The following is a 22,053-nucleotide window of genomic DNA, read 5'->3' as shown; positions in this document are numbered from 1 at the left end:
TCATGGACTCAGGTGGCCACCTCAAGGGAGCACACAAGGATATCTGCTTGTTGATTCCAGTCACCTTCCCACCCTGGAAGGAGGCTCTTCCAATGTACATCTACACAGCCCACCTTAAGGCACCTTTCATATTTCCAGAGGGCCAAGCTCCATATGAGCATCCCTTTAAAAGGCCAGGTTTCTACTGCCCTTCTGTGTGACCATGTGTGGCCAGGCCATTGGCCACTGCCCACAAGCCAGTAAAAACCCAAACACAGGGGCTTTTACCACTGTCCAATTACTTCATCAGTGTTAGGAAGGCGGCATGCAATTTAGCTCACTGAGCTGATTCGTTTTTACGTTGTTCAACCAGAGTGCCATCCTTTTAATTAGGATGTTGTCCATTCCCCTTGGAACTGCCATCCACACACCAAGCAGCTCTTTGTTGGTCAGTCAAGAGCTGTAGTCAAGAGCTATAGGGCACTATCCAAGTGTCCATAGAATCCAGCAGCTCCTCACACAGTTCCAGAGTCAGTCCTAGGGGAAAAGATGTTCCCTGCTCTTGAGTGTCTGTTCTTTGAATTCCCTAGGTAGCATGGCCCTGTATAAATCATCTCCATTTTACTATGGAACTCTTCTGGGAACCACTATCCCTAATAGAGTGTTTCCCTGACATCACCAAGACAGCATGCATATTCCAGATTTCAAGATCATGTTATGTCCTTCAGTCACAGGGATAGCTTCAGTTAAAGTTCTATTGCAAGGCTGTAAATGCCCCTCAAGTGGAAATTATCAAAGTCCAAAGTCCTTGTAGTTATCATTGAGAGGCCCTCAAAGGCTTTTGCCGTAAGTCCTAGTAACTGTTCCACAAAGAACTAGCAAATGGAGAATTTGTCCCTACGAGCACTTCAGCTTCTATTATATACTGTGCGGGCTTAGGGTGTCTTACTGGTTCCCATTTAGCATGTTTAATATTGCTCAGAGGGCAGATTTTTATGCCTTCTCTTTTACAATATTAGGTAGAGGGGACATCCCCCAGTCAGATAAAATATCCCATTGCTATTAAAAAGGAGATGCAAATTACTTTACTTACAGCCTGTTTAAATATTCCAAATTTCACTATGCTACCAACTCTTACATTTTTTTTTCTTTTTTTTTTTTTTTGAGACGGAGTCTTGCTCTGTCACCCAGGCTGGAGTGCAGTGGCTTGATCTTGGCTCACTGCAAGCTCCACCTCCCGGGTTCATGCCATTCTCCTGTCTCAGCCTCCCAAGTAGCTGGGACTACAGGCACCTACCACCACACCCTGCTAATTTTTTGTATTTTTAGTAGAGACGGGGTTTCACCGTGTTAGCCAGGGTGGTCTCGATCTCCTGACCTCGTGATCCACCCACCTCAGCCTCCCAAAGTGCTGGGATTACAGGCGTGATCCACCACGCCCGGCCAACCCTTACATTTTTATGTTCAAGTCGCGTGACCTCTTCTCCACCCCCAGACTACCTTCTCTTGGGCAAAAGGCTTTGGGTCCTTAGCAGCAGGTTGAGCCAAATGTCCCTGGCCTTTTTGTCAATCTTTCTGAATTAACCTGCCTCAACATTGCTCCAAGCTATTGTTGGTCAGCTTTCTCATTGTAATCTTTGCCTTCTGACTTTTAAAATTTCCCCAAACTGGGGTAAATACAGCAAACCTGTTTGGAACCCCTTACTGTTGGGGGACCAGCAGAGGCTCCCTTTGGTCCACCCAACCTTCTATAGTGTTGTATTAAGACCTTTGATTTAACCGTATCAATTTCCATTTTATTCATCCTATTTCTTAATAACCATCTAAAGATTTCCACCCTGGAACAAATCTCATGACTCTCCCCTTTCCTTTTTTTCTTTGTTCATCTCATTTCTTAATAACCATTTTAAAATTTCCACCTGCCTGAGATGAACTCTTTGACTTTCCCCTCTGCCTTTCTCCATTCTCTTGTTAATTAACCTACTGTTTTTATTAGCATCTGTAAGACTCATGTGGGGAAGGAAGACAGCAAATTTGACAAGGCTTCTCTGACCACAGCTCAATTTTGCAGCAGTATCCTTACATGTGGTGTCCATGCAAAAGGGGCACCCTTGACCACAACATTTACCATGACCTGGGTAACAGGCATAAACAGCAGGTGAATATCCTGATCACCATAAAGCCACATGGCTTTATGTGGTCCAGGAACTGCTTCTATGGCATTGTATTAGATCATTCTTCCACTTCTACAAAGGAATACCTGAGACTGGGTAGCTCATAAGAGGTTTAATTGTCTTACACTTCAGCAGGCTGCACAGGAAGCATAGTGGCATCTGCTTCTGGGGAGGCCTCAGGAAGCTTCCAATCATGACACAAGGCAAAGGGTGAGCAGGCACTTCACATGATGAAAGCAGGAGCAAGAGAGAAAGGGTGGGGAGTGGTGCCACACAATGGTAAATGACGAGATCTCATGTGAACTCAGGGCCTGCCTCGACATTGCCCCAAGCAATTATATTCTCCCTCTCCCTCTACCTTTCCCTTTCCCTTTTTGAGACGGAGTCTAACTCTGTTGCCCAGGCTGAAGTGCAGTGGTGTAATCTCGGCTTACTGCAACCTCTGCCTCCTGGGTTCAAGTGATTCTCCTGCCTCAGCCTCCCAAGTAGCTGGGATTACAGGCACGCACCACTATGTCCAAATAATTTTTGTATTTTTAGTAGAGACAGGGTTTCACCATGTTGGCCAGGATGGTCTCGATCCCCTCACCTTGTGATCTGCCCACCTCGACCTCCCAAAGTGCTGGGATTACAGGTGTGAGCCACCACACCTGGCTGAGTTTAGATTTTTATTATCAGAATTGGGTCAGAACCATGAAAAGCATGTAGAGCAAGGGTAATCTGAAGCAAAAGACTATGATAGACAAATATATTAAACTCTATATTTAATTTGTACTTAACATTGTACACTTAACATTTCTTCCTCACTGCTGTCAATTATTTGTGTGTGTGTCATTCTATGCTACAAGTGTCCAACTAGTGTTTAAACTACATGATGACAAGAACTGTTATTTCTCTGCTATTAGGTTTATTGCGTTGCCTTTTTGCCCAGAGTAAGCATGCAATAAATATGTTTAATTGAATAATTTGAGTGAGGCCTTTCTTAATTTTTTTAAATAAATAATCCAGTAGAATTATAAAGCTCGGCCAGACGGACACCTATTAGGCTTTTATGATGGTCAAACAATATAATGCATATATATGCTGCTGCTTATTATTCATCCCAAACGTGTAAATTCAAGTTACTTCAAACTTAAGATTGTGGAAATTTCAAACACCAGCCATAAATCTGAAGCTCCATTCCTTGACAACTCTTTGGCCTTCAGGACCTGTTGAGACTCTCAACAATATGCTATGGGTCTGAGATTTGATAGGGCTTCTCCATACTAGTTTGAAAACCTGAGTCACAGGCCGGGGGTGGTGGTTCAAGCCTGTAATCCCAGCACTTTGGGAGGCTGAGATGGGCAGATCACGAGGTCAGGAGATCAAGACCATCCTGGCTAACATGTTGAAACCCGATCTCTACTAAAAATACAAAAAAATTAGCTGGGCGTGGTGGTGGCCACCTGTAGTCACAGCTACTCAGGAGGCTGAGGCAGGAGAATGGCGTGAACCTGGGAGGCGGAGCTTGCAGTGAGCCGAGATCGAGCCACTGCATTCCAGCCCGGGCAACAGAGCAAGACTCAAAAAAAAAAAAAGAACCTGAGTCACCTCGTGCTACAGCTAGCCCATTGCAAGCCATTTCGGTCTGTTTCTTCCCTTCATTCATTCTTTTGTTCTCCTTTGTGCATATCTGGGCTTCCCACCTGGAATTTATGATTCTCTGGGCCCAAAGATCATGAACTGTCATCACTGTATTCCTCTGTTTCAGTTATCTATCACTGTGTAACAATTTTATCCCCAAATTTAGTGGCTTCAGACAAAAATCATTTGTCTCTGTAAGTCAGGAATTTGGGAAGGGCTTGGTGGAGCAGCTCTGGCTTACAGTCTAGGATGTGGCTGTAGTCAGATGGTGGCTGGAGCTATGACAATGGGAATGAGGACTGGAGTAGCTGGGGTCTGGCTTGGTATCTATCAACAATCTTCATGTGGTCTCAGGACTGCTCTTAAATAGTCTCTCCACATGGGTTAGTTTGGACTTCGGTTCAGCATCATAGCCTTAGGGCATTAAAACTGCATATATGGCAGCTCAGAGTTTCAAGAGACAATTCCAGTGAGCAAGGTAGAAGCTGTATGGCCTGTGATGACAGCCTCAAAAATGTTACTGTATTACTTTCACCATACTCTGTTGGTCACAAAAGCCCACCCAATTTCAAAAAGGAGGAAATATAGATCACACCTCCCGATGGTAGTGTTGAAGGTACATTTTAAGGGCATGTGGGATGGGAGTCAATTTGGAAAATATCACCTGCCACACCATCAGACTTTTTGACATGATGCTTTGCAAAAGGCAGGTGCTCAGTAAATGTTTGTCAAATGAATATAATAAAAGCAATTTGTCTAAAAATGTTGTATAAGTAGAAGACCAACCCAACAAATTTTAAAAGTAGTTAAAATGTAATAGTAGTTTTAAAAGACTTTGCTATAGTCTCTGGTCTATCCCCTACTCTATAAAACAGGCACTCATGCAATTTTAAAAAACATTAGGAGAAATATGTCACTAATTGTGATCTGCCCTATTAACAACTGTCTCTCTAGGCTGGCTTTCAATAGTGTCATTTGCATTATTTGTGTAGGAGTCTGTGTCCTTTTTTGCTTGCTCTATTTGTTGTAGATGTTGAGAATAAGCTTATCTCTATCCTTAAGGCTGCCCCACATCTCCAAACATGTTCCAAGGTCTCACAGACCATGCTAATAGACAGCTCACATGTGTTAATTGTAGCTTTCATCAGCTCTGGAAATAAGGAGAATCAGACTTCTACAGAGATAGAAAAGTGACTTGTCACCCCAGGGCAATTCCATTTTGGGATAGAGATAGACAGCAGTGGTGTTTATTCAACCAGTTGGAAGAAAACACTCAAAGATATATCATTAATAAAAACAGAATAGAATCACTGTTTTGTTTTGTTTTGTTTTGTTTTCCAACAGAAGAGTCTTGGAGATTCTCAGCAAACAATCTCAGTTAAGAAAGAGGAAATGAAGTTATTTATGTGACTGAATTTGCATAGCAGGTTAGTGCTATTCTGTTTAATGTTGTCTGCAAGTTCTTCTAATGGGTAAAACAACTTAAGGCAAAAAAAAAAAATACTTGAAAAATATCAAGGAAAGGCTAAGTATGGTGGTTCATGCATGTAATCCCAGTGCTTTGGGAGGTCAAGGTGGGAGGACCACTTGAGACCAGGAGGTCGATGCTGTAGTAAGCTATGATCATGCCACTGCACTCCAGCCTGGGCAACAGAGTGAGATCCTATCTCAAAAAAAAAAAAAAAAAAAAAAAAAAAACCAAGAAAGAAAATTGAAAACGATGTCAAATTTTCTTCAACTAGATTTCTTTCAGCTAGATCATGATGGTATTCTAAGCCCCCATCTCAAAAGGGCTCTATAGAAGTAAGCATTATAAAAGAAAAGGGTTCTATGAACTATGCTGAGTTAAAAAAATATTAACAAGTGTTTTTACTGTGAAACTGCTCGGTGCCTTTAATAAGCTAACATTTACTGTGACTATTTAAAGAAGGATAGTCAATGAAGTATTTCTCAGTTACACCCTTTTGTTCAAAAGCATTTCTCAGGTCTGATATATTACAGAAATTGTTCTGAGAAATACTGAAATCTCACCCCCAGAAATCTATCACATATGAAGATCTCAGTTTTAGGGGAGTGCCACAGCCATAATACAGTCCAAGAGCTATGTGGGGAACTCACAGGGCCCAAAAAGGTTGCTCAAGCAGCCCTTAGTCCACATCCCTTTCAAATGATATTTTACTGTTTTTTCTTTTATATATAACAAATGGGATAGTCTATTCAATATGTGAAAGGAGATAGCGTATCTTGAATTAGATGAAAGTTTTTTTTAAAACATATATGTATTCTAGAGTTTAGTGTTGTAGTCATTGGATAATTGTTAAGAAGCCATTTAGAGAAATTCTGGCCATGGAGTTAAAATTCCTCCTGCGTTTTCTGAGTTGTAGGGTATATTAACTGTACTCAAAATCCATGAGGACTAAACTCTGATTTTTTTTTATCTCACCCAAATTCCTATCTAAGGGATCTGGGGAGTCATGCCCTAAAAATAATACATTCTCATCAGATGGGTTTTATTTAAGCCTACAGATCGTGATTTGCTTTCCAACCTGACTCTGGTATAACATTATGAGACAAAGAAGAAAATCAACATATTTTACCCCAAAATATGTTTCTTTGTCATATTTTGAAATGGCCCTGCAAAGCTGTTCTTTGTGGGGGAAAATGTTCATCTGTAAAGAATCTCTATTAACATAGCTAGATCTTTTTCTTTCAGACCCTCCCAATCCTAAAGAGATTACCTAAAATCTGAATAGGAAACATTTGTTATCCTATTGTCTCTAAGGGCAGCCACTATAAGACTTCAAAAGAACTTTGGTCTCCACAATCTTTATCTTAACCTGAATATTTCCCTTCTGTCATCCCAGGTCTTTAGACAAACTCAACCAATTGTCAACCAGAAAATGTTTAAATTCACCTATAGCCTGGAAGCCCCCTGGCTTTGAGTTGTTCCACTTTTCTGGACCAAACCAATGTATTTCTTAAGTGTATTTGACTGATGTTTCATGCCTGTCTAAAATGTATAAAACAAAGCTGAGCCCTGACCACCTTGGGCACAGGACCTCCTAAGGGCTGTGTCACAGACCATGGTCATTTATATTTGGCTCAGAATAAATCTCCAATATTTTAGAGTTCAACTCTTTGTCGACATCCAAAACAGCCAAACTTTTAGCAATAAAAGATTTAACATTCAAAAGTGACCACGAAGTTCTGCATGTAGAAACTTACCACTTCGCTGTAACACAAATTTGAACTTCAAAGGCTGTGAGGCTATGGGCATGGACAGATCACTTAACTAGAGGGTGAGCCTAGTCCAACATCAGGTACCTGTAACTCAACAGACTTTTTAGTATTATTAATTTTACATATGAATGTTAGGCATTTTACAAGGATAGATAAATCAGCTATTATGATTGCATTCAGCAGTAAGTAGCAGAAAACCTTTATAACCGTGGATTAGTTAAGTAAATGATTATTTTTGTTCACATAACAAGAAGTTTGGAGATAACAGCTCAGTGCCAGTGTAGTAGCTTAAGGATTCTGCCGGGGAATCTCATTTCTTCTCTTGTCTGTCTCCAATACCCTTGAGAAGTAGATTTTCCGTATAGTCACATGATAGCTACTGCACCCTCAGATTGTAATTGCATTCCAAGCAGGTAAAAGGAAAAAGAGCAAGGAGTGAAGAGCAAAGGCATATGCCGTTGAAGTTTACTTCTCTTTAAGTCAGGAAATCAGTATTTTTCTTAAAAGCCCTATCATAGATTTCATCTTTCATCTCATTGGTGAGTATTTTATCACATAACCACTGCTGTCTATAAAGTACCTTAGAAAATGATTTTTTAAAAAAACCTGGGTACATTGCTGCCACCAAAAATATTGGTATGCAGTAGAGTTTCATTGTAGTCTGATGGAAGATTGTGACTGTTCAGACCTTTCTTCAATATTCACAGCAACTCTCATGTGTTCATTATATCCATGAGACACTTGACAGTTTGCAAAACACCTCCATCCACATCCTCTCACCTGATCCTAATTAGATATTCTCACTTGAGTCTACGTTTTTTGTTGTGTCATCGATCAGAACCCTTCCAATAATGTGTGTTTCTGTACTTACAAAGATGCGGTTTTCATTGTGTTTACCTGATAATTCTGAAGTAGATTTTTAGGACATCTTTCTAGTGCTTCCATGAGTTCAAATAATCAGCTCGTAATCATTTACAAGGTGCCCCACTAGTTGGTGCTATGCTAGGGACCATATTGAGATTTTAAAAAGAAAAGGAATAAAAGATAGCATTTCTGACCCACCCCACCCCCGGCCCCCATTCTTCTATTGTCATCTCACCACTCATGGATGTAAGGACTAAGCTCTGATTATTTTATCTTGACCAAATTCCTATCTAAAGGGTCTGAGGTGTCATGTCCTACAAACCATAAATTCTCATCAGATGGGTTTTACTTAACCTTATATATTGTGACTTACTTTCCAATCTGACCCTGACATAACATTATGTGACAAGAAAGTAAAAATATTTTACCCCCAAAACATGTTTCTTTGCCATATTTTGAAAGGACCCTGCAAAGCTGTTCTTGGTGGGGAAAAAATTACATCTGTAACTAATCTTGGGGGTTCTGATGGCAAGATGGCCGAATAGGAACAGCTTTGGTCTTCAGCTACCAGAGAGATTGATGCAGAAGGTGGGTGATTTCTGCATTTCCAACTGAGATACCTGGTTTATCTCACTGGAACTGGTTGGACAGTGGGTGCAGCCCACAGAGGGTGAGCTGAAGCAGGGTCGGGGGTTGCCTCACCTGGGAAGCACAGGGGGTCGAGGGATTCCCCTCCCCCAGCCAAGGGACGCCATGAGAGACTGTACCGGGAGGAACGGTGCACTCTGGCCCAGATACTGCGCTTTTCCCAGTCTTCGCAGCCAGCAGACCAGGAGATTCCCTCTGGTGCCTAGGCCACCAGGGCCCTGGGTTTCAAGCACAAAACTGGGTAGCCATTTGGGCAGACACAGAACTAGCTGAAGGCTTAGTTTGTATTTTTTTTTCATACCCCAGTGGCACCTGGAATGCCAGTGAGACAGAATCCTTCACTCCCTGGAAAGGGGACTAAAGCCAGGGAGCCAAGTGGTTTGGCTCAGCGGATCCCATTCCCACAGAGCCCAGCAAGCTAAGATCCACTGGCTTGAAATTCTCGCTGCTAGCATAGCAGTCTGAGGTCAACCTGGGATGCTCAAGCTTGGTGGAGGGAGGGTTGTCCACCATTGCTGAGGCGTGAGTAGGTGGTTTTATCCTCACAGTGTAAACAAAGCCACCAGGAAGTTCAAACTGGGAGGAGTCTACCACAGCTCAGCAAGGCCACTGCAGCCAGACTGTCTCTCTAGATTCCTCCTCTCTGGGCAGGGCATCTCTGAAAAAAAGGTAGCAGCCCCATTCAGGGACTTACAGATAAAAACCCCCATCTCCCTGGGACAGAGCACCTGGGGGAAAGGGCAGCTGTGGGCATAGCTTCAGCAGACTTAAATGACCCTGCCTGACAGCTCCAAAGAGAGCAACAGATCTCCCAGCACAGCATTTGAGCTCTGATAAGGGAGAGACTGTCTCCTCAAGTAGGTCCCTGACCCCCATGTATCTTCACTGGGAGAAACCTCCCAGTAGAGGCTGACAGACACCTCATACAGGAGAGCTCTGGCTGGCATCTGGCAGGTGCCCCTCTGGGACAAAGCTTCCCAAGGAAGGAACAGGCAGCAGTCTTTGCTGTTCTGCAGCCTCTGCTTGTGATACCCAGGAAAACAGGGTCTGGAGTGGACCTCCAGCAAACTCCAGCAGACCTGCAGCAGAGGGGCTTGACTGTTATAAGGAAAACTAATAAACAGAAAGGAATAGTATCAACATCAACAAAAAGGACATCTGCTCAGAGACCCCAACCAAAGGGGTCACCAACATCAAAGCTCAAAGGTAGATAAATCCACGAAGATGGGGAGAAACCATAGCAAAAAGCCTGAAAATTCCAAAAACCAGAACACCTCTTCTCTTCTGAAGGATCACAACTCCTCACCAGCAAGAGAACAAAACTGGACGGAGAATGAGTTTGAGAAATTAACAGAAGTAGGCTTCAGAAGGTGGGTAATAACAAACTCCTCCAAGCTAAAGGAGCATGCTCTAACCCAATGCAAGGAAGCAAAGAACCTTGAAAAAGGGTTAGATGAATTGCTAACTAGAATAACCAGTTTAGAGAACAACATAAATCACCTGATGGAGCTGAAAACCACAGCATGAGAACTTTGTGAAGCATAACACAAGCATCAATAGCCAAATCGATCAAGTGAAAAAAAGGATATCAGAGATTGAAGATCGACTCAGTGAAATAAAGCGAGAAGAAAAGATTAGAGAAAAAAGAGTGAAAAAAAATGATCAAAGCCTCCAAGAAATATGGGACTATGTGAAAAGACCAAATCTACGTTTGATTAGTGTACCTGAAAGTGATGGGAAGAATGGAACCAACTTGGAAAACACTCTTCAGGATAACATCCAGGAGAACGTCCCCAACCTAGTAAGACAGGCCAACATTCAAATTCAGGAAATACAGAAAACACCACAAAGATACTCCTTGAGAATAGCAACCCCAAGACACGCAATCATCAGATTCACCAAGGTTGAAATGAAGGAAAAAATGTTAAGGGGAGCCAGAGAGAAAGGTCAGGTTACCCACAAAGAGAAGCCCATCAGACTAACAATGGACCTCTCAGCAGAAACCATACAAGCCAGAAGAGAGTGGGGGCCAATATTCAACATTCTTAAAGAAAAGTATTTTCAACCCAGAATTTCATATCCAGCCAAACTAAGCTTCATAAGCAAAGGAGAAATAAAATCATTTATAGATAAGCAAATGCTGAGAGATTATGTCACCACTAGGCCTGACTTACAAGAGCTCCTGAAGGAAGCACTAAACATGGAAAGGAACAACCGGTACCAGCCACTGCAAAAACAAACCAAATTGAAAAGACCATTGACACTATGAAGAAACTGCATCAACTAACGGGCAAAATAACCAGCTAGCATCATAATGACAGGATCAAATTCACACATAACAATATTAACCTTAAATGTGAATGGGCTAAATGGCCCCAATTAAAAGACACAGACTAGAAAATTGGACAAAGAGTCAAGACCCATCAGTGTGCCATATTCAGGAGACCCATCTCATGTGCAAAGACACACATAGGCTCAAAATAAAGGGATGGAGGAATATTTACCAAGCAAATGGAAAACAATAAAAAAGCAGAGGTTGCAATCCTAGTCTCTGATAAAACAGACTTTAAATGAACAAAGATCAAAAGAGGCAAAGAAGGGCATTACATAATGGTAAAGGGATCAATGCAACAAGAAGAGCTAACTATCCTAAATATATATGTACCCAATACAGGAGCACCCAGATTCATAAAGCAAGTTCTTAGAGGCCTAAAAAGAGAGTAAGACCACCACACAATAATAGTGGGAGACTTTAACACCCCACTATAAATATTAAACAGATCAATGAGTCAGGAAATTAACAAGGATATCCAGGACTTGACTTCAGCTCTGGACCAAGTGAACTTAAGGTGGAGACATCTACAGAACTCTCCACCCCAAATCAACAGAACATACATTCTTCTCAGCACCACATCAAACTTATTCTAAAATTGACCACATAATTGGAAGTAAAACACTCCTCAGCAAAAGCAAGAGAATGGAAATCATAACAGTCTCTCAGACCACACTGCCATCAAATTAGAACTCAGAATTAAGAAACTCACTCAAAACTGCACAACTGGATGGAAACTGAACAACCTGCTCCTGAAAGACTACTGGGTAAATAATGAAATTAAGGCAGAAATAAAGATGTTCTTTGAAACCAATGAGAACAAAGACACAATACACCAGAATTTCTGGGACACATTTAAAGCAGCGTGTAGAGGGAAATTTGTAGCACTAAATGCCCACAAGAGAAAGCAGGACAGATCTAAAATCAACACCCTAACATCACAATTAAAAGAACTACAGAAACAAGAGCAAACAAATTCAAAAGCTAGCAGAAGACAAGAAATAACTAAGATCAGAGCATAGCTGAAGGAGATAGAGACATGAAAAACCCTTCAAAAATCAATGAATCCAGGAGCTGGTTTTTTGAAAATATCGACAAAATAGATAGACTGCTAGCCATACTAATAAAGAAGAAAAGAGAGAAGAATCAAATAGATGCAATAAAAAATGACAAAGGGGATATCACCACTGATCCTACAGAAATGCAAACTATCATCAGAGAATACTATAACCACCTCTATGCAAATAAACGAGAAAATCCACAAGAATTGGATAAATTCCTGGACACACACCCTCCCAAGACTAAACCAGGAAGAAGTCAAATCCCTGAATAGATCAATAACAATTGCTGAAATTGAGACAGCAATTAATAGCCTACCAATCAAAAAAAGTCCAGGACCAGACGGATTCACAGCCGAATTCTACCAGAGGTACAAAGAGGAGCTGGGACCATTCCTTCTGAAACTAAGAGGGAATCCTCCCTAACTCATTTTATGAGGCCAATATTATCCTGATACCAAAACCTGGCAGAGAAACCACAAAAAAAGAAAATTTCAGGCCAATATCCCTGTTGAACATCGATGCAAAAATCCTCAATAAAATACTGGCAAACCGAATCCAGCAGCACATCAAAAAGCTTATCCACTGCAATCAAGTTGGCTTCATCCCTGGGATGAAAGGCTGGTTCGACATAAGCAAATCAACAAACATAATCCATCACATAAACAGAACCAATGACAAAAACCACATGATTATCTCAATAGATGCAGAAAAGACCTTTGACAAAATTCAACAGCACTTCATGCTAAAAACTTTCAATAAACTAGATATTGATGGAACGTATCTCAAAATAATAAGAGCTATTTATGACAAACCCACAGCCAATATCATACTGAATGGGCAAAAACTGGAAGCATTCCCTTTGAAAACTGGCACAAGACAAGGATGACCTCTCTCACCACTCCTATTCAACATAGTATGGAAGTTCTGGCCAGGGCAATCAAGCTAGAGAAAGAAAGAAAGGGTACTCAATTAAGAAAAGAGGAAGTCAAATTGTCTCTTTGCAGATGACATGATTGTGTATTTAGAAAACCGTATAGTCTCAGCCCCAAATCTCCTTAAGATGATAAGCAATTTCAGAAAAGTCTCAGGATATAAAATCAATGTGCAAAAATCACAAGCATTCCTATATACCAATAACAGACAAACAGCCAAAACAAACAGAATAAAATACCTAGGAGTACAACTTACAAAGGATGTGAAGGACCTCTTCAAGGAGAACTACAAACCACTGCTCAAGGAAATAAGATAGGACACAAACAAATGGAAAAGCATTCCATGGTCACAGATAGGAAGAATCAATATTGTGAAAATGTCCATGCTGCCCAAAGTAATTTATAGATTCAATGCTATCCCCATCAAGCTACCATTGACTTTCTTCACTAAATTGGAAGAAACTACTTTAAGTTTCATATGGAACCAAAAAAGAGCCCACGTAGCCAAGACAATCCTAAGCAAAAAGAACATAGCTGGAGGCATCACGCTACCTGATTTCAAACTATACTACAAGGCTACAGTAACAAAAACAGCATGGTACTGGCACCAAAACAGATATATAGACCAATGGAACAGAACAGAGGCCTCAGAAATCACATCACACATCTACAACCATCTGATCTTTGACAAACCTGACAAAAACAAGCAATGGGGAAAGGATTCCCTATCTAATAAATGGTGTTGGGAAAACTGGCTAGCCATATGCAGAAAGCTGAAACTAGACCTCTTCCTTACACCTTATACAAAAATTAACTCAAGATGGAATAAAGACTTAAACATAAGACCTACAACCATAAAAACCCTAGAAGAAAACCTGGGCAGTACTATTCAAGACATAGGCATGGGCAAAGACTTCATGACTAAAACACCAAAAGCAATGGCAACAAAAGCCAAAATAGACAAATGGGATCTGATTAAACTAAAGAGCTTCTGCACAGCAAAAGAAACTATCATCAGAGTGAACAGGCAACCTACAGAATGGGAGAAAATTTTTGCAATCTATCCATCTGACAAACGGCTAATATCCAGAATCTACAAAGAACTTAAACAAATTTACAAGAAAAAACCCCATCAAAAAGTGGGTGAAGGATATGAACAGACACATCTCAAAAGAAGACATTTATGTGGCCAAGAAACATAGGGAAAAAAGCTCATCATCTCTGGTCATTAGAGAAATGCAACTCAAAACCACAATGGGATGCCATCTCATGCCAGTTAGAATGGTGATTATTAAAAAGTCAGGAAACAACAGATGCCGGAGAGGATGTGGAGAAATAGGAACACTTTTACACTGTTGGTGGGAGTGTAAATTAGTTCAACCATTGTGGAAGACAGTGTGGTGATTCCTCAAGGATCTAGAACCAGAGAAATACTTACCATTTGACCCAGCAATCCCATTACTGGGTATATACACAAATGATTATAAATCATTCTACTATAAAGGCACATGCACACATATGTTTATTTTGGAAGCACTGTTCACAATAGCAAAGACTTAGAATCAACTCAAATGCTCATCAATGATAGAGTGCATAAAGGAAATGTGGCACATATATACCAAGGAATATTATACAGCCATAAAAAGGGATGAGTTCATGTCCTTTGCAGGGACATGGATGAAACTGGAAACCATCATTCTCAGCAAACTAACACAAGAACAGAAAACCAAACACCACTTGTTCTCACTCATAAGTGGGAGTTGAACAATGAGAACACATGGACACAGGGGTTGGGGGCATCATACAATGAGGCCAGTCAGGGGGTCGGGGGCTGGGGGAGGGATATCATTAGGAGAAATACCTAATGTACATGATGGGTTGATGGGTGCAGCAAACCACCATGGCACGTGTATACCTATGTAACAAATCTGCACATTCTGCACATGTACCCCAGAACTTAAAGTATAATAAAAAATTAAAAGGGATGGAGGGAGCAAGTCTGTCCCTTTTTCCCTCCGCCATATGAAGATGCAGCAAGAAGGCAACATCTTGGAATCAGACAGCCAACCTTCACCAGGCACTAAACCTGCTGGCATCTGGATCTTGGACTTCCCAGCCTTCAGAATTGTGAGGAATAAATTTCTACTATTTATAAAGTATTCAGTCCAAAGGATATTGTTATAGCAGCCTGAATGGACTAAGACAGATGTGTAGTACCTAATGTGTAAATAATAAAATATACATGAAAAAAAAAGAATCTCTGTTAACATAGCTAGATCTTTTTCTTCCAGGCTCTCCCAATCCTAAAGAGATTAAGAGTCTAGTACATTTTAAAGGTCTGAATAGGAAACACTTGTCATCTATAAGACTATTAGACTTCAAAAGATCCTTAGTCTCCACAATCTTTTATCTTAACTTGAACATTTCCTTTCTATCAATCCCAGGTCTTTAGACAGACTCATCCAATTGTAAACCTAAAATTGTTTAAATTTACCTATTGCCTGGAAGCCCCACCACCACTGCGCCACCACCATACTTTGAGTTGTCCCAACTTTCTGGATCAAACCAATTCATTTCTTAAATATATTTGATGTCTCATGCCTCCCTAAAATGTATAAAACCAAGTTGCACCACAACTGCCTTGGGCACATGTTCTCAGGACCTCCTGAGAGGTTTGTGTCATGGGGCCATGGTCACTCATATTTGGCTCAGAATAAATCTCTTCAAATATTTTACAGAATTTGACTCTTTTTGTCAAAGGTGTTTTTTCTGCTTTTACTGGCTTGCTGCTTTTTCCATTCCTTTTACATCAAAGGGAGATAAGAGCATGGGGAATCATGGAAGTAATGTGAATTCTAGATGTAACTCACCACTGCATTACTGTGGGCATGAACTTGGGAAAATCACACAGAAAATTCCTAGGCCTGTGTACTAATTATCTATCATTGTCTAACACAAATACCCCAAAACTTAGTGGCTTAAAACAACAAACATTTATTATCTCACAGTTTCTGTGGGTCAAGAATCAGAGTGAAACTTAGCTGGGTGTCTCTGGCTCAAGGTCTTTCTGTAGGTTACAGTCAGGTTATTAGCCAGGGATGTGGTCTCATCTGAAGGCTTGACTGAGGGAAGATCTGCTTCTGAACTCCCTAATCTTGTTGATGCAAAATTCAGTTCCTTGTGATATGTTGGTCTGAGGGTCTCAGTTCTTTATTGGCTCCCCTCACTCAGTTCTCTGCCTGGTGGCCCTCTCCATGGAGCCACTCACAATATGGGAACTTGCTTCCCCCAGAACAAAGGCTCTGCAAGAAACAGTGAGGCAGAGTGACCAAAATAATCAAAATCTATCTGTAATTTAATCTTGGATGTAGTATCCATCATATTTGTCATGTTTCATTTGTTTTAAGGCAGTCACTAGATCTAGCTTACACTCAAGGGGAAGAAATTTTACAAAAGTATGAATACCAGGAGGCAAGGATGATGGGGGTGGTGGTGCATGTTAGAAGCTGGTCCCTTTGGTTTCAATCCCCTTTATATAAGAATCCTACTGGCTTTGAAGCCCATAATTTTATGGTTCTAAGAACATACTTCAAGTCAGCCCTGGACTGTGCTTTAAGTGTCATGAAGTCAGGGGATTTTTGTTTGTTTGTTGTTTGTTTTTTACCCCTACATCCTCAGCACCACCACAGGGCCTGGCCTATAGTGAGTGTTTATGTATTTCATTCATTCAACATTTATTGCTCATGCGCCATGCCTTATACTAGATGCTAGAGATGTAGTTGTGACCAAGATAGATGTAAGTTCTCAATATCATGGAACTTACATTCGAGGAGGGGAAGACAGACAATAAACAAGTAACCCAGTAAATGAACAAGATACCATTACACAGAAAGAGATAAATAATGTGTCAAACTTGAAACAATTACAAATTATATTATAAACATCATTTAAATGATGTCACTCTATGAGGAGCTATATATACATCAGTAAGAAAAAAATTGAACATCCCAGAAAATCTGTTTGCAATAAAACTCTAAGAGAAAAAAATATGGGTTAAATATCACTAGTTATCTAAGATCTGAAGATTAAAACACAACTTATTAATTATTCTCTTTAAATTGCTGTTGTTGTTTTTGGCAATAAGAGTCAATGTTTTCCAGGGAAACTGGGCTTTCTTACAGACTCTTGGAGGAAGTGCATGTTGGTTTTACTTTTGTGGAGGGCTCTATGACAAGATATGTCCAAACCCTAAAATGAATGCATTTTGAGTTGTTTTTTTTTTTTAATCAGTAAAATTAAAAGCTAAGAGTATAGGCTGTGGGATCAGCCTAGCGGGGGAGATGAGGGTGCAGGGCGGGTCAGCCAGGGCTTCCTAGCGGGGAATAATTTCTGAGCTGAGTAGAAGTTAACATGGCCATGTGGGTTCTAGGATGGGAAGTGCTTACAGACAAAAGTGAAAAAGTAGTTTCATTCAGGACACAGAATCAGGTGTTCCAAGGTGCAGAGTGTAAGAAATGTGAGAAAGCATGAGATTCAGCCAGAGGGAGGAGTCCAGATGATTCCCATATTTCTCTCTTGGGCAGCTGGTGGACGACAAAGTCATCACCAAGAGAGTAAAACAGGAAAAATTCCTGCATTGCATAGGAAAATCAGGGGTTTCCAAGCCCTATTGATGATGGCCCACCTAGGTGAAGTAAAATAGCTGGAGACCCATCTCTCCTACCTATTCTTCAATCAAAACCTCAGAGATTTGCAAAGTCCTGATAACTTTCATTTTTAAAAGTATATTTAAAAATGAGTTAATGCCAAAATGGGGCTATGAAAATGTTGTTGGTACTTTTTAGATGTTACCATTTAACAAATTAAAACTGGCCAGGTGTGGTGGCTCACACCTCTAATCCCAGCACTTTGGGAGGCTGAGGTGGGCAGATCACCTGAGGTTGTGAGTTCAAGACCAGCCTGACCAACATGGAGAAACTCCGTCTCTACTAAAAATACAAAAGTTGCCGGGCGTGGTGGCTCATGCCTGTAATCCCAGCTACTTGGGAGGCTGAGGCAGGAGAATTGCTTGAACCCAGGAGGCGGAGGTTGCAGTGAGCTGAGATCATGCCATTGCACTCCAGCCTGGACAACAAGAATGAAACTCCGTCTCAAAAAAAAAAAAAAATTAAAACTTTCAGAGTGCACACATGTGTGCACAAACATTGCAGTGGCTGTGTATAACCTCATTTGAAGGTAACACCAAAGTCTAAACCTGAGGTCATTCATAACCGTGAGGCCCCAGTAAATGGCTTCTCTGCCTGTCTCCTCCATCAGGATCCAGGTTCTGTTCTCAAGGACAAGGGTGCCTTCATTTCCATTTCACAGAATAGTGTTTCTCTGATATAATTAAGTCCAGAGCAGCAGTTCCTTTTTGGTCTTCCTCCCCCTCCCATACATATTCAGAGATATGCAATTATCATCAGGTAAAAAAATATATCTGATGTCTTTTAAGGGAATGAAATTTAGAGTAGATGCCTAGTAGCCAAAGTCTGTTATTTTACTGTATCTTTTCCCTGTGACAGCAATCTTTTAGGAGAACACAAATTGCATTCCTTGAAGACTTTTGGAGATGACCTTGAAAAAAAATTTCTGTTCATTGGTTTATTTATTTTTAATTGGTTTTAATCTAACTACACCTGTAGTTATCTTTGTGGAAAGTTTTAGAATTAAACATTTAATTTATCTTAATAGTGCTGTGGTTTGAATGTGTCCCTGAAATTAATACATGAAATGTAATCACCAGTGTGACAGTATTAAGAGGTGAGGCCTTTAAGAGGTAATTAAGTCATGAGGGTAGAGGCCTCATGAATAGGATTAGGGCCCTATGAAAAGGGCTTGAGGGAATGGGTTTGCTCTCTTACCCTTCCGCCACATGAAAACACAGCATTCCTCCCTCCATAGGATGCAGCGACAAGGTGCTATCTTGGAAGCAGAGAGCAGCTCTTGCTGGTGCTTTGATCTTGGACTTCCCAGCCTCCAGAACTGTGGGAAATGTCTATTATTTATAAATTATCCAGTCTGTAGCATTTCATTAAAGGAGAACAAAAGAATTAAGACAAATAGTAATAGAAGCTCACAGATTTTCTATTTATTTTTGTGTTGTTTCAGTTTTGGTAAGTTGTATGTTTATACAAATATGTCCATTTCATCTAAATGTTCAACTTTTTTGCATAATATTTTTATAATATCCTTATTACCTTTTAATCAACTGCCAGTTTTATAGCAATATTTGATTTTTCCTTCTTGGTGTCAATACTTGTACTATTGCTCATTTTCCTTACCAAAGAAGAAACTTCTTGCCTTACTGTCATTTTTAATATGCGTTTATTTTCAGTTTATTTAATTTGCCCTTATCCTACTTTCCTCAAATTTATATTGCTATTCTTTTTTGTAATTACTTAAGATGGACGGTTAGCTCACTTCTTGTGGGGTTTTCTTAAAAAAAAAGTGCATTTTAGGCTATGTAGTTTTCATGAATTACTGCTTTGACTGCATTCCACGAATTTTAGTATGTAGCCAGGCATGATGGCATGCACCTGTAATCTCAGCTACTCCTCCTAAGTAAGGAGGCTGAAGTGGGAGGATTGCTTGAGCCCAGGAATTTGAGGCTGCAGTAAGTTATGATCGTGCTACTGCACTCCAGCTTGGGTGACACAGCATGACTCCATCTCCAAAATAAACAAACAAATAAATAAATTTACTATGTAATTTTGTTATTTGGTTGAAAATACTTTCTAATTTTTATTATAACTTATTTAACTAATAAGCTATTGATAAACTTCTTAATTTCTAAGCACATACAGATTTTATACTTTGTTATTAATTTTTCAGCATAACTACATTGTAGTCAGAGAACTAACTTTATATAATTTCAGTCTTCTGATATCAAATATGTAATAAATTTTGTCAGTCATCTGTATGTTTGTAAAAAGAATGTGTCCCACAGTTGTTAAGAGCAGTGTTTTCAAAACATCCAATAGGTTGTTTGCTAATGGTGCTTTCAAATTTTCTGTATTTCACTAATTTTCATCTGCTTGTTATATATATTATAGAAAAAGGTATTTAAAAATTTCTTACTGTGATTGGGAATTTGCCTAGTTTTCCTGATACTTGTGTGCTTTGTGAACTTTTTTTTTTTTTTTTGAGTCAGGGTCTCACTCTGTTGCCCAGGCTGGACTGCAGTGGTACCATCTTGGCTCACTGCAGCCTTGACCTCCTGGGGCTCCCACCTTAGCCCTTAGCCTCCCAAGTATCTGGGACCACAGGTGTGTGCCACCACACCTGGCTAATTTTGTGTATTTTTAGTAGAGATGGGGTTTTGCCATGTTGCCCAGACTGGTCTTGAACACCTGGACTCAAGCAATCTGCCTGCCTTAGCCTCCCAAAGTACTGGGATTATAGGCATGAGCCACCGTTCCCTTGTGTACATTTTATTATTATTAAGTGTATAGCAATAGGAAATTCTCACATCTTTCTGGTGAATTGAACATTTAACCATTATGAAGTGACTGACTTTTCTCTAGTAATCTGCCTTACACAATATTGTTACACCAGCTTTCTTTTAACTAATGCTTGCATGGTAGATCTTTTTCCTTCCATTACTTTCAGTTTTTTGATATCCTCATGTTTTAGATCGATCTCTTGCAAGTTACCTACAGTTGAGTATTAGGTTATTTTTAATATATTCTGAGAATCTATTTTTTCCTTTAACTGGAATATTTAGTCTATTTACATTTAATATAATTACTAATTATTTGGTTTCAGATTATGCAATTTCTAGTTTTGCTAACTATTCCATATTCTTTTCCTTCATCTTTTTTGCCTTCTTATGGATTGATTAGTTTTTAGGATTTCATTTTTGCTTCCCACTTATACGCAATATATAATATTCTCTCTTTACATATTATTTTACAAATGCTGCAAGACATTATTTTTGTTGTATATAGTTAACTTTCATTTTGATTTACCCACATATTTATAACTTTTTTTTGTCCTTCAGTCCTTCTTGCATCTCTAAACTTTCATTTGGCATAATTTTCCTTCTGCCCAAAATATACCTTTAAAATGTCCTTTAGTGTATATTGGTTTATTGTAAAATCTCTCAGTTTCTGTTTTTCTGAAAATATGTTTCATTTCACCTTCTTTCTTGTAGAATATTTTCAAGGGATAAAAGGTCTAAGTCGTGGCTGGGCGCGGTGGCTCATGCCTATAATCCCAGCACTTTGGGAGGCTGAGGCTGGCGGATCATGAGGTCAGGAGATCGAGACCATTCTGGCTAACACGGTGAAACACCGTCTGTACTTAAAATACAAAAAAATTAACTGGGTGCGGTGGCGGGCACCTGTAGTCCCAGCTACTTGGGAGGCTGAGGCAGGAGAATGGTGAGAACTCGGGAGGCGGAGGTTGCAGTGAGCCGAGATCGGGCCACGGCACTCGAGCCTGGGCAACAGAGCAGACTCCGTCTCAAAAAAAAAAAAAAAAAAAAGTTCCGAGTCATTAGTTATTTTCTTTCAGCATGCTATTTTACGATCTTCTAGCTTCCATGATTGCTGTTGAAAAGTGAGTTTTTAGTGTAAGTGTTGCTCCTCTGAAGAAAATCTGTCTCTCTCCTTTTCAGCTTTGGTTTTCTGCAATCACTATGTGAATTTGGGTTTCTTTCTTTAAAAAAAAAAAAAAAAATCATACTTGGGATTTGTTAGGCTTCTGATGGTGAATTGATATATTTCATCAGTCCTGGGCAATTCTAAGTCATTACCTCTAAATTGCTTCTGCCACATTTCTGTTTATCTCTTTTAGTTAAAAATATGTTAAACCCTCTCACCTCTCCTCTGTCTTTTACTTACTTGTCTACATTTTCCATCTTTTTGTGTTTTCATGCTTCTTTCTGGATAATTTCTCCTAATCTATCTTCTCTTCAGCTGTGTTTAATTTGCTTCTAAACCCATCTATTAAGTTTCAAATTTTTATTGTAAATTTTAGTTGGAATTTCTATTTTTGTTTTACTGAATGTTATAGTTTTTGTTCCCACACATTTTATGCCCATTCTTTATCTCCCTGAATATTCTAAGCATGTTTCATATTCTGTTTCTGATAATTCCAGTATTGTGGTCCCTGGGGGTTTTGTTATTTGATATGTTTTATTGGTGCTCACTCATGTT

The 22,053-nt window shown here is 39.9% G+C and overlaps 2 annotated features.

Annotated features, from left to right (window-relative positions):
• Window positions 975-1,475: an enhancer, noted in NCBI's record as "H3K27ac hESC enhancer chr12:68271051-68271551 (GRCh37/hg19 assembly coordinates)". NCBI's record gives its function as "activates a minimal SCP1, AML or CMV promoter by ChIP-STARR-seq in naive H9 embryonic stem cells {active_cell/tissue: H9 hESC(naive)}" and the evidence as "EXISTENCE:reporter gene assay evidence [ECO:0000049][PMID:30033119]".
• Window positions 1,476-1,976: an enhancer, noted in NCBI's record as "H3K27ac hESC enhancer chr12:68270550-68271050 (GRCh37/hg19 assembly coordinates)". NCBI's record gives its function as "activates a minimal SCP1, AML or CMV promoter by ChIP-STARR-seq in naive H9 embryonic stem cells {active_cell/tissue: H9 hESC(naive)}" and the evidence as "EXISTENCE:reporter gene assay evidence [ECO:0000049][PMID:30033119]".

The sequence above is a fragment of the Homo sapiens genome, chromosome 12 (assembly GCF_000001405.40).
Source record: "Homo sapiens chromosome 12, GRCh38.p14 Primary Assembly".
Classification (NCBI taxonomy): domain Eukaryota; kingdom Metazoa; phylum Chordata; class Mammalia; order Primates; family Hominidae; genus Homo; species Homo sapiens.
This window is presented reverse-complemented; position numbering and strand designations above follow the sequence as displayed.